Source organism: Homo sapiens, chromosome 11 (genome assembly GCF_000001405.40).
Source record: "Homo sapiens chromosome 11, GRCh38.p14 Primary Assembly".
NCBI lineage: Eukaryota > Metazoa > Chordata > Mammalia > Primates > Hominidae > Homo > Homo sapiens.
The window spans coordinates 118,563,202-118,578,747 of record NC_000011.10 but is presented as its reverse complement, the minus strand read 5'-3'; the positions used below and the strand labels follow the sequence as shown (position 1 = coordinate 118,578,747).

At 43.1% G+C, this 15,546-nt stretch overlaps 2 protein-coding genes and 1 long non-coding RNA gene across 21 annotated transcripts in view, besides 3 other annotated features; 1 reads left to right on the top strand and 2 right to left on the bottom strand.

Moving 5' to 3' along the window:
* Window positions 1-6,339, bottom strand: part of ARCN1 (archain 1 coat protein complex I subunit delta) — a 30,625-nt gene extending 24,286 nt beyond the window's left edge. For 12 of the 13 annotated variants that reach the window (NR_189132.1, NR_189131.1, NM_001425073.1 and 9 more), the window contains exon 1: window positions 6,198-6,339. Coding sequence is in view for 10 of the 13 variants with exons in the window: in NM_001425073.1 (NP_001412002.1) it covers window positions 6,198-6,200 (3 nt within the window). In the remaining 3 variants the exon portion in view is untranslated. Of the gene's footprint in view, window positions 1-4,964; window positions 5,129-6,197 lie in introns of all 13 variants that reach the window. The other variant, NM_001425076.1, reaches the window with a different exon arrangement.
* The window catches only part of IFT46 (intraflagellar transport 46), a 32,356-nt gene continuing 18,659 nt past the window's right edge, over window positions 1,850-15,546 (top strand). For 2 of the 6 annotated variants that reach the window (XM_011542906.4, XM_011542905.4), the window contains exons 1-2: window positions 1,850-6,152; window positions 13,687-13,783. The gene's annotated coding sequence lies outside the window, so the exon portion shown is untranslated. Of the gene's footprint in view, window positions 6,153-12,816; window positions 12,959-13,686; window positions 13,784-15,546 lie in introns of those variants that run through there. The other 4 variants (NM_001168618.2, NM_020153.4, XM_017018018.3 and 1 more) reach the window with 2 other exon arrangements.
* Window positions 5,958-6,037: an enhancer, noted in NCBI's record as "active region_5595". NCBI's record gives its function as "activates an Ori minimal core promoter by ATAC-STARR-seq in GM12878 lymphoblastoid cells {active_cell/tissue: GM12878}" and the evidence as "EXISTENCE:reporter gene assay evidence [ECO:0000049][PMID:35858748]".
* Window positions 6,548-6,677: an enhancer, noted in NCBI's record as "active region_5594". NCBI's record gives its function as "activates an Ori minimal core promoter by ATAC-STARR-seq in GM12878 lymphoblastoid cells {active_cell/tissue: GM12878}" and the evidence as "EXISTENCE:reporter gene assay evidence [ECO:0000049][PMID:35858748]".
* Window positions 10,149-13,687, bottom strand: LOC124902764 (uncharacterized). 2 transcript variants are annotated; one of them, XR_007062907.1, is made up of 4 exons: window positions 13,374-13,687; window positions 13,043-13,136; window positions 12,462-12,546; window positions 10,149-10,670 (listed from the first exon to the last, which is right to left on the bottom strand). It is a non-coding gene; the product is annotated as an uncharacterized LOC124902764 (long non-coding RNA). The 2 variants fall into 2 exon arrangements; XR_007062906.1 differs by lacking the exon at window positions 13,374-13,687 and having other exon boundaries at window positions 13,043-13,242.
* Window positions 12,545-12,774: an enhancer, noted in NCBI's record as "active region_5593". NCBI's record gives its function as "activates an Ori minimal core promoter by ATAC-STARR-seq in GM12878 lymphoblastoid cells {active_cell/tissue: GM12878}" and the evidence as "EXISTENCE:reporter gene assay evidence [ECO:0000049][PMID:35858748]".

The window sequence follows — 15,546 nt, the reverse complement described above, 5'->3', positions numbered from 1 at the left end:
TTTGCCTTTGTCAATATTTTGATATTCAAATAATGAATATTGACTCTCCCCCCAAAATTTTACATACAGTTTCAGGGAATGCATCGATCCTCTAGAGAAGTTATTTCAAATGGCCCATAGAAAATCCCCTCATGCGATGAGAAATATTATTAATAAATGGGAGCATATTGTAAATGTAATCCCTGTAGAGCCTCCTATCCCTAAAAGGTTGAGAGTCATAGCTCTAGGAAGTCATGGTCCTCTATGTTAGAATTTTATGAGGTTTTGAAGAAATAAGACAAATCAAATGAACACCTAAAGAAAGGACAGCTCAGACCAAAACTTCAGACCTATATAAACATGCTGCATTTAATAGAAACCCCATATCTAATAATAAACCTGTTAGAAACAATGTTTACAGGCTCAAGGGTAGTTCTTAGGTTTCCAACTGGAGTTAAAAACACCTCTATACCATACAAGTAAAATTTAGGTAAAAACATCAAAAGCAACTTGAGAGGGAAAAAGGAACAAAAAGGTGTATGTTACTATCCACTTTATTTATTTATTTATTTATTTATTTATTTATTTATTTATTTATTTATTTTTTGAGAGAGTGTCTCACTCTGTAGTCCAGGCTGGAGTGCAGTGGTGCCATCTTGGCTCACTGCAAGCTCTGCCTCCTGAGTTCAAGCAATTCTCATGCCTCAGCCTCCTGAGTAACTGGGACTACAGGCACAGGCCAGCACCACCAAGCCTGGCTAATTTTTCTATTTTTAATAGAGACAGGGTTTTGCCATGTTGGGCAGGCTGGTCTCCAACTCCTGGCCTCAAGTCATCTGCGCGCCTTGGCCTCCAAAGTGTTGGGATTACAGGAGTGAGCCACTGCACCTGGCCCATCCACTTTACTGATGAGCATGTTCAAAAACTAATTATAGGTACTGGTAATCTCCATTTTTGCGATATTATAAGAATTAACTGAGTAATTATTTATCGAACATCTACTATACATACAACATGCTTTCTGAGAATTAAGATGACACAGGCTAGCATTCTGCCTACAAGAAGCTTAATAGGGATAAGACACAAACACAAATAACTGTAATATGAGGCAGAATGTGTTAAGTAACATGAGAGAGTAACCGATAAAGTGCGTGGAAATTCAGAGGAAGAGATTACTTCCAGCTGGTACAGTCAGGGATGACTTGATAGAAGAAACAGCATTTAGGCCGGGAGCGGTGGCTCATGCCTTAATCCAGCACTTTGGGAGCCAGGGCAGGCAGATCACCTGAGGTCAGGAGTTCGAGACCAGCCTGGTCAACATGGGAAAACCCTGTCTCTACCAAAAAATACAAAAAATTAGCCAAGTCTGGTGGTGCACGTCTGTAGTCCCAGCTACGGGGAGAGTGAGGTGGGAGGATTGCTTGAACCTGGGAGGCGGAAGTTGCAGTAAGCCAAGATCATACCACTTCACTCCAGCCTGGGCTACAAAGTGAGACTCTGCCTCAAAAAAAAAAAAGAAAGAAAGAAAGAAAGAAACAGAATTTAGATCATGCTTTGATGAATTCCAGGATTTGTTTGTTTTGAAACAGAGTCTTGCTCTATTGCCCAAGCTGTAGTGCAGTGGCGTGATCTTGGCTCAGTGCAGCCTCAACCTTCTGGGCTCAGGTGATTCTCCCACCTCAGCCTCCCAAGTATCTGGGACTACAGGCACAGGCCACCACACCTGGCTAATTTTTTGTATTTTTCTGTAGAGACAGGGTTTTGCCATGTTGCCCAGGCTGGTCTCAAACTCCCAACCTCAAGTGATCTGCCCGCCTGAGCCTCCCAAAGTGCTGGGATTACAGGCATGAGCCGCCACACCTGGCCAGAATTCCAGGCTTTCAGTACGTCAAGATGAAGAAAGAAGTAGGGTAAAATCATATGTCTCTCTTTGAGTCATTCCATTATCCAGATACAAGCAAAACAAGGCTTCCAAAATAGGACCATAGTTCCCCATACTAAGTATAGCATAAATCTCCGAACACCCAGGACACCACAAATTACAGGTTCCAGGCAGTTGACACAGGTCTCTCTGTTACAGCTACTAATATGGCTAGAAGGTATGGTCACCTCTAAACATGATAAATTTATCCTATCCTAAATTAACATTTGTCTTCTTAAAGTTCTTGAAATAATAAACCTCTTTACATTAATGTTTACTGGTTTAACAATTATTAAAATATAGCATATACTAAAAGGTAAGTTAACAATTTTCCCTATTGAAATTTGATCTGATTTTCTCTGAGGAAGAATTAATAAATATGATTACAAAGTTTTTGGTTTTTTTTTTTTTTTTTTTTTTTAACATTTTTGGAAAAAACATTCCAGATCTAAAAGGAACTTGCAAGAGCCCTTGATTGTCTTACAGATGTGAAAACTGAGGGCCCATAAGTTAGATGATCTCTCCAGGACGGTTAAAAAAAAAAAAAATTCCCTCATAAAGTTGAGCTTTGCCAAACAACTTTTAATAATTCTTACATGGTTTGAGTACACTATCTTTGGACTAAATAACAACTCTCTCCTACACAGACTTAACTACATGAATTGTTAAGTGCCTCAAGTAAAAAAACCTGGAGAATTAGGTTTCTGTTCTGCCTTTGCCACTAATTATGTGACCTTGGATAAGTCACTTAATTGATTATTGAAATATCCCTAACATAGGAGGTTAGTTTACATGAAATCCAAAGTGCTCTGTGTCTTTAAAGTTCTGTAAGTCTAAGCATTTGAAAACTACAGTAACAGAAAAAAAAAAAAACAACTACAGTGACAGAAAATGTACAATACTTCCATTTTATACCCACTGCTCCAGTTCTAACCACTTTGGAACAATATTTTATAGTAACATTAGGCTGCCAGAAGGCAAATTGTCTAACCATAACAAATTGTGTGTGCAAGAGAGATACAAGAATAACAGGTGGTATAATAATTCAGGATAAATATGCACAACTCTCTCTCAAAAAAAGTCAAGTTCTTTCTTGAATCTCTAAATGCTTCAGGATCCCTTACTTCCAGAATTATAGTCACCTTCTCCTTTGTAATTCACCGCAATATTTTATACACATATACATGCACACACAATTCATGGTCATATTAAGGCTAGTTTCTATAATTGTCAGGGAGGACTGTTCTGTCTTTTCTATTTATATGAAGCTATTATAGATAAAATCAGAGAGAAGATTACAATAAAATGTAGACCACATACGAAACCTAAAACTTGAAAAGTAATTTACTCAGTGAGGGTTTTAAGTCCATCACATTTCTATTCTAAAACAAAAGCTTGCAGAGAATTAAAACACACACACACACACACACACACACCCGTTATCAGTTTCTGCAGTGAACTTCTATATGAAGACATAAATAGATGGCAAATCAATGGAAACTCAAGAGAATCATTTTCTTTCTTTGCTGTCCCTCAAAACACAATTAAAAAGATACATAAATAATACAGGGGCCGGGCGCCATGGCTCACACCTATAATCCCAGCACTTTGGGAGGCCGAGGCGGGCAGATCACGAGGTGAGGAGATCGAGACTATCCTGGCTAACATGGTGAAACCCCGTATCTACTAAAAATACAAAAAAGTAGTTGGGCGTGGTGGCAGGCGCCTGCAGTCCCAGCTACTCAGGAGGCTGAGGCAGGAGGATAGCTTGAACCCGGGAGGCAGAAGTTGCAGTGAGCTGAGATTGTGCCACTGCACTCCAGCCTGGAGACAGAGCGAGAATCCGTCTCGAAAACCAAACAAACAAGAAAAAAAGTCAGAACATGTTCTCATTAATTTGCAGAATACAAAAAAAAGATCAAATCAAGGCCCGCATGCCTACAGTCCCAGCTACTTGGGATATGGAGGCGGGAGGATTGCTTGAGGCTAGGAGTTCTAGGCCGCAGTGCACTATGATAGCGCCTGTGAATAGCTACTGCCCTCCAGCCTGGGCAACATAGTGAGACCCTGTCTCTTTAAAAAAAAAAAATCAAAAGATGCCTTTCTTTGTACTTTATTTTATGATGAAGTCATGAGAAAGCATTTGTTTCTGCATTTGTTCACTTATTTATCTATTGGAACTTTGCAGTCTAGGACATTCTGCACTTCAATAACTAAAGCCAAAGGGAATTTATTTTTTAAAAAATCAATGTTTACGTACTGATATCTGCAACTTACTTTGAAATGTATATTTTTTTTTAATGGAGAGAGGGATGGATGGATGATTAGATGCATGATAAAATATAGTGAAATGTTAGTTATAGAATCTAGTTGGTGGTTATATGGGTATTCACTACAAAGTTCTTTCAACTTTTCCAGATGTTGGAAAATTTCATAATGAAATGTTGAGCTAAAATAAACGCTGGAAATTTTGATACAACTTTTAGATAAAAATTTCACCCTATCTGGACATTTCTACTGTCCAGGGATCTGTTTGTAAAGGAGCAGGACCCAAAAACATTACACAGAAATCATACCAATGTCTTAACACTCTACAGAGCAGAATGTACTGAGATAAATTGTTCTCCAGAGTACACAAATCTGTGGGTATCTGGATCATGTTAAGTCCCAAATAATTCAGAAATATGTGACACAACTCTATGTATACGTACACATGTCAAAATAGCATGCAAAAGTTATATTTTATATATATCACGTAGGGCTTTACCATCCCTCAGTTATCAATGAATTAAAAATACTAAGTTCCAAGAACCTTTTAACAAAGAATATTTTTAGAAAGATTACCTTTATCTGGTTTATATAATACAAGACCTTAACTTTACTATTAAAATAAAAATATGCTCTAAAATGCATTATTAATTCCAGGGTGTAAACGGGAACTGAGTTTCAAAATCACTAACCAAATACAGAACCTCCTGGAGAAACTGAAAATACAAGTTTCTGGAAATTTTGTGTCCAACACAAAAATTTTAGGAGGCAAACCTGTTTGATGCAATTTATATACCTGAGGCTGAGAAAAGCTGTTCAGTGGCCTAAAGTCCAAGCATGAATTCCCCCCATTATCCAAGTTCTTATCTAAAGGGTTGTCAATAGAACTTATTAGGATTGCCACCAAATTACATTCTGCCATCTCTCAGGTACACTGGACGATGTTTTAAATCAAGTTATCTATTGACAAAAGAATAAAAAAGAACAGAACAGAACATCCTTCAAAAGACTAAAGGACATAAGGTGCACTGAAAAATAAATTACTAGCTTTTTTGAAACCAAAGAATGTCTACTACTTCATGAATATCCACAAATCACAGCGATAAAGGAAGATTGAGTGATGTCAGCAGTTCTGATTTCCTCCATCCTCAACCACATTAACCTTTCTCATCCTTGTAACAGATGAGTATACAAAGATAACGCATGGGAAGGCAAGTAACTGGTCTCGGAGGCTAACCCATCCCTCTTACTCCACCTCCTGTGAGACATCTGACTACGACATGCCACATACACATTTTTCTTCACCTGGACAATAAGTTCCTTGAAGGCAAACCCTGTGTTCTCTGGAACCTGCTCACATTTTCCCAGTGGTCTACACAGTGTATGTACCCCGAGTCACACTAACAAATGGACACAAGTGAGTTCTGCGGAAGTAGTGGAAGGTTTCAGAGACACTTGGGTCCTATACATTAGTGTTAGAAGTTACTCCTTTCCGCTCTGTGTCTCCATTTCCCCCTTCTGAACAAAAAGAAAAATTTCTGGACACCAGTGGATTTGCATTTCGAGTTATCAACGGCCTAGCAAACACCGGGGGTGGGAGACAAGCTCTGATTAACAGAAGGACCAGAACCTCCGGAGACAGGCCCAGCCTGCTGAGCCTAAGCGCCAGGGAACCGGCGGGACAGCATCAGTTCCGAGGTCCGCAGCCTGGGACCCGCACCACCACCACGAAGTTCTCGCAGAGCAAAAACGCCGGGCCGTCTCAGGGGCAGGTCCCAGCAAACGAGGGAGTCCAGCTGGTTGGGGGGTGGTGCGGAAGCGGGCACGACGACAGATGGACTGGAGTCAGCTCCATCGGATCTCCAGGAGACCGGGCACAGGAGGCCACACTGCTCCCCGAGCCCGGAGCAAAAGCACTCTGCCCTAGACCCTCAGGGCGGGGCTCCTCCGGCCCCTGCCCCAGGCCCGCCGACAAGGAGAGACGGTGAGGCTCGGACCCCAGGAGTTCGGGTCCTGGCTCGGATCTTACCATGGTGAGGGCGGTGGTGGGGCGCGCCCGCACTCCGGCTCCACTGGGGATAGGGGTAGGGTCTGGGGAACGGGAGCACCAGCAGCTCTGGACCTGCTGCCCCCTTGACAGGAACCGCTGCCGCTTCGCCTCTTGCCAAGATGGCGGCCCCAAGCCACGTCTTCAACCGGAAGCGGCGCAGGTCAAAGGGCGGGGGGGGGGGCGGGGCCTGTGGGCTGGGGAAATTGAGGGTACCCCGCTCCGGTTACGATTAAGCCCAGGAGGTGTAGGGGGCGTTCACCCTCCAGCTGTGGAACCTCGTATCTCTCCCCTTTCACTGTCATCGCCTTCATTTATTTTGCGTCACATCTTACAGTTTAACAAGCCGCTGGCACAGCCACTATTATTTAATATACAGGATAACCTGTGTGCCTAAAAGACCAGTATCCGGAATATATAAAGAACTTTTTTTTTTTTTTTTTGAGATGGAGTCTCACTCTGTCGCCCAGGCTGGAGTGCAATGGCGTGATCTCGGCTCACTGCAACCTCCACTTCCCAGGTTCAAGCGATTCTTCTGCCTCAGCCTCCGGAGTAGCTGGGATTACAGGCACGCGCCACACCACGCTCGGCTGTTTTTTGTATTTTTAGTTGAGACGGGGTTTCACCATGTCGGCCAGGCTAGCCTCAAACTTCTGACCCCAAGTGATCCGCCCGCCTCAGCCTCCCAATGTTGGGATTACAGGCGTCAGCCACCGCGCCTGGCCTAAGAACTCTTATAACTCAGCAATAAAAAGACAAATACAGTATTCCTGTCTAAAAATGGGCTTCATCTGCAAAATGGAGGGAGTAGAAAACACAAAATTAAAATGAGCAAAAGATTTGAATAGATATGTGTCCAAAGAAGATATATAAATGGCTAATATGCACATTAAGAAATGTTGAATATCCTTAGGGAAATGGAAATCAGACCCGTGGTGAGACGTCATTTCACACTCACTAGGATGGCTATCATAATAATTGTTGGTGAGGATGAATGTAAAATAGTGCAGCCACGTTGGAAAAGAGTTTGGCAGTTCCTCAAAAAGTTAAACAAAATTACCACATGACTGAGCAATTCCACTCATAGGTACATACCCAGGAGAACTGAATATATGTCAACACAAAAATGTGTACTCTAATGTTCATAGCAGCATTATTCATAGTAGCCAAAAAGTGGAGACAATCCAAACAAATCCATTCATCAATAGATGTGGCATATATATGCAATGGAATATTATTTAGTCACAAAAAGGAATAAAGTACTGACATGCTACAATATGGATGAACCTTGAGAATATTATGTGAAAAAAGACGGATACAATGGGGCACTCATATATGATTCCATTAATACGAAAGATCCAGAATAGAAGAAAATCCACAGAGACAGAAACTAGCTTAGTGATTTCCAGGGGCTCAGGAAGGGTAGGAATAGAGAGTGACAGTTAATTAGTGTAAGATTTATTTCTGGAATAATTAAAACATTCTGGAATTAAGCCAGGCATGGTGGCATGATCCTAGAGTCCCAGCTACTTGGGAGGCTGAGTTGGGAGGATGGCTTGAGACCAGGGGTTAAAGGTCAGCCTGTGCAAATTGTGAGACTTAGACTCTTAAAAAAAAAATAGTTCTGGAACTAGATAGAGGCAAATATACTAAAAACCACTAAATTGTATAATTTTAAAAGGTGAATTTTTATGATTTGTAAATTATATCTTTAAAAAAACATGCACTGGAAGCAGGGCAGTTGTGCTCATGTCCATTTTGTATATGAAGAAAATGGTGAAAAGTTTAAGTGACTTACCCAAAGTTTCTAAACCAGTATATGATGGAACCAAGACTCAAAATCTGTTCTTGTGATTCTCATGTTATTTCTTGTATGCCAAATTTCAGATTTTTCAGAGTATAGCTGATTCAGTAGTTCTTCCTTAAATCATTTTATCCTACATCCTTAGCTCAACCGAACAGCACTCATCCATATTAAACCTGTATGTCCACAATTAAGTATAATAGCAACTTTTAATTGAGTGCTTCATTTGTGTCAGGTACTTTACACATGTTATTTCCAATCTTTTACATCAATCCAAATAAAGATACTGAGGATCAAAAAAGTTAAGCATTTGTCCAAACTCACACAACTAGTAAGTGGTAGAGCCAAGTTCAAAGTCAGTTTTCTCCTGGCTGGGCGCGGTGGCTCACGCCTGTAATCCCAGCACTTTGGGAGGCTGAGGTGGGCGGATCACAAGGTCAAGAGATCGAGACCATCCTGGCCAACATGGTGAAACCCCATCTCTACTAAGAGTACAAAAAAAAAAAAATTAGCTGGGCATGGTGGCGCGTGCCTGTAGTCTCAGCTGTTCGGGAGGCTGAGGTGGGGGAATCCTTGAAGCTAGGAGGCGGAGGTTGGGTTGCAGTGAGCCGAGATCATGCCACTGCACTCCAGCGTGGCGACAGAGGGAGACTCCGTCTCAAAAAAAAAAAAAAAAAAAAAAAGCTGGGCGTGGTGTCTCATGCCTGTACTCCCAGCTATCTGGGAAGCTGAGGCATGAGAATTGGTTGAACCTGGGAGGCGGAGGTTGCAGTGAGTTGAGATCACAACACTGCCCTCCAGACTGGGCAACAGAGTAACACTCAGTCTCAAAACAAACAAACAAAAAAACAAAGTCAGCTTTTTCCATTAAAACACACTGCCTCTGTATCTCCTGTGTGTTCCCTAACATTTATTGAACACTTACAGCATACCAGCCATTACTCTAACTTCACACAGATTATCTCATTTAATCCTCACAAGAATCCTCTGAGATAGGTACCTTTATTGTCTCCATTTTACACATGAGGAAATCAAGGTACAGAGAAGAAAACTATCCCACCACAGGTCTCATGGCTAAAAAGTAGGTAAGCGAGGATTCAAACAAAGGCTGTTCAACTTTGGACTATACCCTTAAGCACTGCATTATAGACTTCTTGCTCTTACCCGTATCAATTCCATCTCCAATGGCCTTCTAATAGAAATCTTTAGAAAGCTCAAATATTTTTAAATTTTATATGTCTGGGAGGATATATGTCAAACTGTATTTTAAAGTTTTTTTTCATTAAAAAAACTTTTTTAGAGAGATGGGGGTCTTGCTATGTTGCCCAGGCTGGTCTCGAACTCCTGACCTCAAGCAGTACTCCCATCTTGTCCCCCCAAAGTTCTGGGATTGCAGGAATGAGCCACTGAGCCCAGTCAATATTTTAAAAAAAAAAATTTTTTTTTTTTGAGAAGGAGTTTCGCTTTTGTTGCCCGGGCTGGAGTGCAATGGTATGATCTCAGCTCACTGCAACCTCTGCCTCCTGGGTTGGAGGGATTCTCCTGACTTAGCCTCCCAAGTAGCTGGGATTACAGGCATGGACGACCACGCCTGGCTAGTTTTTTGTATTTTTAGTAGAGATGGGGTTTCACCATGGCCAGGCTGGTCTTGAACTCCTAACCTCAAGTGATCTGCCTGCCTCAGCCTCCCAGAGTGCTGGGATTACAGGCGTGAGCCACAGCTCCCGGCCTATTTTTAAATTTTCTAATTGACACATAATACTTGTACCCACTGGCCAGGTGCGGTGGCTTACGCCTGTAATCCCAGCATTTTGGGAGGCCGAGGTGGGCGGATCACTTGAGGTCAGGAATTCCAGACCAGCCTGAGCAACATGGTGAAACCCCATCTCTACTAAAAATACAAAAATTAGCTGGGCGTGGTGGCCCATGCCTATAGTCCCAGCTACTCGGTGGGAGAATCGCTTGAACCCCGAGGCAGAGATAGCAGTGAGCTGAGGTCTCGTCACTGTATTCCAGCCTGGGCGACAGAGTGAGACCCTGTCTCAAAAAAAGAAAAAAAAAGTGACAATGGGTACAAACTTTCTTTAGGGGATGATGAAATGTCCTAAAAAAGATAACAACTGTACACATTTATGGGGTAACTTTTTATTTATTTATTTATTATTTATTTATTTATTTTGAGACAGTCTCACTCTGTCGCCCAGGCTAGAATGCAGTGGTGCCATCTTAACTCACTGCAACCTCCGCCTCCCGGGTTCAAGCGATTCTCCTGTCTCAGCCTCCTGAGTAGCTAGGATTACAGGCATGCACCACCACACCTGGCTAATTTTTGTATTTTTAGTAGAGATGGGGGTTTCACCATGTTGGGACAGGCTGGTCTTGAACTCTTGACCTCTGGTGATCCACCTGCCTCGGCCTCCCAAAGTCCTAGGATTACAGGCGTGAGCCACTTCACCTGGCCCAATTTTAATTTTTGTTACAAAAAGCAGACATATTTTAAGAAACATGGAACAAATTCTTATTTTTTTAGAAAAGTAAAAATCCTGTTAGAAACTATTGCCTTATTGTAGCACCTTCCAGGGCTTCCAACTTGGATCTCAGAAGCTCAGCAAAGACCAGTTGATGCTGCTTCTTCGGAAATATAACGGTAGCTGAATTAAACCACAGAAGAAAAAGCAACCCTGTAAGCATGCTTCTTGAGGAGTCCCATAGTGGCAGTATCTTATAATGGTTAAAAGCAGAGACTTAGGAATCAGACTGACCTGTGTTTGGCTGCTATTTTCAGCGCTTATTATGAGTGACTTTAGGCAAGTTACTTTAACTGTCTAAGCCTCAATTACTTAATCTGTAGATTGGCAGTAACATCTATCTCATAAGGTTGTGAAGTAAATTAGATGATATAATCTAAGTGCTCCCCACAAAAAAACTAAGTGCTCCTACATAGTAAGTACTGCACATTACATATCCACTATTACGAGCAAAACAGATCACAAATTTTTTTTTAAATGCAGTTCTATTTTTAACTATCAGTATGCCAGAAAAGCTGTCTCTCATTTTTTAAAGGCACTTTCCTTGTTTACCTCTGGTAGGTTTTCAGGGTCAAATTTCCAATATTATTTTCTTTTTAAAATGTATTGCTATTATTATTATTTTGAGACGGAGTCTCGCCCTGTCGCCCAGGCTGGAGTGCAGTGGTGCGATCTCGGCTCACCACAACCTCCACCTCCCGGGTTCAAGCAATTCTCCTGCCGCAGCCTCCTGAGTGGCTGGGATTACAGGCGCGCGCCACCATGCCTAGCTAATTTTTGTATTTTTAGTAGAGACGGGGGTTTCACCATGTTGGTCAGGCTGGTCTTGAACTCCTGACCTTGTGATCCACCCACCTTGGCCTCCCAAAGTGCTGGGATTACAGGCGTGAGCCACCGTGCCCGACCAAAAAATTATTATTGTTATTATTCATTATTTATATTTGAGATGGGGTCTTGATCTGTTGCCCAGGCTGGAGTGAATGCAGTGGCCCAATCTCGGTTCACTGCAACCTCTGCCTCCCTGGCTCAAGCAATCCCCCCGCCTCAGCCTCCCGAGTGGCTAGCACTATAGGTGCGTGCCACCACACCTGGCTAATTAAAAAAAATTTTTTTTTTATTTTTAATAGAGTGGAGGGGGGCGGTTCTTGCTATGTTGCTCTAGCTGGTCTCAAACTCCTGAACTCAAGCAATCGTCCCACCTCTACCTCCTGAAGTGCTGGGATTACAGGTGTGAGCCACCGCACCTGGCCTCCAATATTTTATGTTTCTCTCTCCCTGACTTCCCAAATTAATTATGTCCACAGTTTGAAAATATTTGTTCCTTACATCTCCATTCACTCATTCCTCGATTCATCCACCCAATGAGCATTGTTAGTGTCTAATTTCTGCAATACACTGGTGTTACAAAGCTTAAAAATTAATTAGACACAGGTCTTGCTTTAAATAAGTTAAAAGTCTACTTTAGCAAATAAGAAAGACAGGACACAGAGTGAAAAAAAATTTTTTTTGAGACGGAGTCTCGCTTTGTTGCCCAGGCTGGAGTGCAGTGGTGCGATCTCGGCTCCCTGCAAGCTCCGCCTCCTGGGTTCATGCCATTCTCCTGCCTCAGCCTCTCGAGTAGCTGGGACTACAGGCGTCCGCCACCACGCCCGGCTAATTTTTTGAATTTTTTAGTAGAGACGGGGTTTCACCGTGTTAGCCAGGATGGTCTCGATCTCCTGACCTCGTGATCCGCCCGCCTTGGCCTCCCAAAGTGCTGGGATTACAGGCGTGAGCCACCGCGCCCGGCCCACAGAGTTAAATTTGAACCTCAGATACCCAAGGAATAATTTATTGCTATAAGTATGTTCCATTCCATGGCACCCTGTGGAGGGGAAAGACTATAGTGTAATATAGTGCTAGAAAAGGACTTACAGAGTGCTGCGAAATTTCCCCTGGAATGTGTCTACATCCTGGTAAGACTGATCTGGGAGCAACTGCATCCCCAGAGATTGTTGTCCTAGGGGAACAAACGCACACCTTGTTTCCAGATTGAAGGGCTAACTCTACACCAGCCCGAAATTTATCAGCCGCGTTGCCACCCATAGCCGCTAGATGCCGCAACAGACGTATTTACTGAAACCATAGACAAACAGGCGACTTGGCCGCCCAGAGAGGCTTTATCCGTGACTCCTTGATCTTCTTCCTGCGTGGAGAGCCTTCGCGGGTGAGGCTTAACGCGCAGGAGGTCTCACGAGAGTGGAAGCAACTCTCGCGAATTTTAAAATTTATCTTTTTGCCTAGCGACTGACAACAGGCTGGTTGCTTGGCGTGGAATCCTAAAGTGGCCTGGCTTTGAGACTGGAGTGAGACCCCAGCCCTAGGCTGGGGTTCTTTCCATTATAGAGGAGACGGATTCAGAAGGGCTACAGGTAATTAGTACTCATCCCAGCAAAAAGGGAACTGTCTTTCTAGAGAGGCTTAAGAGGACTCCCCTTTACCCCATTCCCGGTTACCTCTTCCAATCTCCGTGGTAACTGTTCCTTCGTCACCTCACCACCAACCGTCCTGCTTCCTTTATTCCCCCAAGAAACTTAGGTGGGATCCTATCTGCAAGATAAGGGTGAAAGTGGAGGTGATGATTTTGGGATTATCGGATGGGACTGAGAGACTGGAGTTTCCCCTCTCTTCGGGGACCCTCCCACCCTACCCCGCCTCAGCCCACCCCACCCCACCCCACCCCACCCCACCCCACCCCACCCCAGAGGTGACTCCAGAGACAGAACTCTTTCTAGAACCTCTACAGCCTTCCCTGAGAAACCTCAACAGCCTTGGCCATCTACATACAAATAGTGTTCTGCCCTTGCGCGTGGTCGTACAGCTTTGGGAAGCTGCAGAAGTTGGCTCTCTTTCCCTCCACGATTCCCTGGTTCCTCAGCCAGCCTGCCAGCAGTTCCTAAATAAGGGCTGCAACAGAATGACTTAACTGCTTGACCGAGGGCCAGGAAGCCTGAAGGAAAGTTTGGATGGGGTGATGGTTTTGTGAAAAACTGGTTTCTTGAGTAAGGAAGAGGAGCCAATGCTGGTTTGGAATATACCTCCTGGCAGAGTGCTTTATGTCTCATGATAGGAGCTATGAATTATGTCTCCCTTTGCTTAGACCAAGGTTGTTGAAAACCAGACATATGATGAGCGTCTAGAGATTAACGACTCCGAAGAGGTTGCAAGTATTTATACTCCAACCCCAAGACACCAAGGTAAGAGAGGAAAGAAGAGAAATGCTACTGAAAGAGCAGGATGGATTCACGGTTGTCTTCAAGAAGTTCTTATTTTATAATAGCAAATGTTGACTTTCAGCGTCAATTTACTTCACTTGCCATTGTTTGTTTTCTGACTAGTTAAGGGGGAGAAATCATAGCCTTCCAAATTACAGGATCTTCCCCCAATCCAACCCTGTCACCATTTACTTCATGTTACTGCTTTGCTCACTGTCTGCCAGGAATTCACTGTTCTTTTTCTTTTTCTTTTCTTTTTTTTTAACTTATGTTTTTCCTAGCTTTGAAGATGCTTCATAACCTCCCCTTAGCCTGCAACCCCAACCAAAATCACAGTGGAATGTTTTTAAAGGACTGAACACTATTTATTTATTCAACAAACTTTTTTTTCTTAATTTTATAGAGACGAGGCCTCGCTATGTTACCAAGGCTGATCTTGAACTCCTAGCCTCAAGCAGTCCTTCCGCTTTGGCCTCCCAAAGTGCTGGGATTATAGGTGTGAGCCATCGTGTCTGGCCAACAAGCATTTTAAAATGCCTACTGTGTGCCAGCCTTATGCCTGGCACTTGGGTAAATAGTGTTAAATGACACAATGTCCCTGCCATCCCGATGCTGGTAATCATGGGAGGCAGATGACAAATGAGTAAACACATGCCAAATGTGGTAAGTGCACACTGATGGAGGCAGATTGTTTGCTGTTAAGGAGAATAACAGTGAGGAAGGAGACCCACTTTTTTTTTTTTTTTTTTTTTTTTTTTGAGACAGAGTCTCACTCTATCACACAGGCTGGAGTGCAGTGGTGCGATCTTGGCTCACTGCAATCTCCGCCTCCTGGGTTCAAGTGATTCTCCTTCCTCAGCCTCCCGAGTAGCTGGGATTACCACACCCAGCTAATTTTAGTATTTTTAGTAGAGACGGGGTTTCACCATGTTGGCCAGGCTGGTCTCGAACTCCTGACCCCAACTGATCCACCTGCCTCGGCCTCCCAAAGTGCTGGGATTACAGGTATGAGCCACCGTACCTGGCCAGAAACCCACTTTTGATAGGGTGGTCAGGGAAGACCTAAAGGGGTGACATGTAAGACTGATAGATGGCAGGGATCCAGACACTGAGGAAAAGTAGACCAGGAAGAGGAAACAGTATGTGAGATGTGAAAAACCTTGAAGCCTGAAAGAACTTGGCTTAGTTTGAGGACCTGAAAGAGACCAGCTTATGGTAGAGGGGACACTACCGTATGATATGGTCAGATCAGAGAGGTAGGGCAGGAAGCACAATAAGCAGAGCTTTGGAGGCTGTGTTGCTGTCGTGTGTGGAATGGACTGTTGTGATGGCTGAGTTGAGATGATAGTGGCTTGGCCTCTGGTGAGGAAGCTGAGAATAAAGAAAAGAGGCAAATACGGTATAAGACATTGTCGCAGAATCACTAAGACTTGGTGATGGATTGGATTTGACTCGAGTTAGGAATCAAGGATGACATCCAGGGTTTCTGTTTGTTTATTGTGGTAAAATATACATAACATAAAATTTGCCATTTTAACAATTTTTAAGTGTGCAATTAAATAACATTAAGTACATTCACAATGTTGTTTAACCATCGCCACTATTTCCAGATCATCCTGAACAGAAAATCCATACCCTTCAAAACAATAGTTCCCTATTGCTTGCTTCCACTCCTCCCTGGTAACCACTATTCTACTGTCTGTATGAGTTTGCTTATTCTGGGAACCACATAAGTGAAATCATAC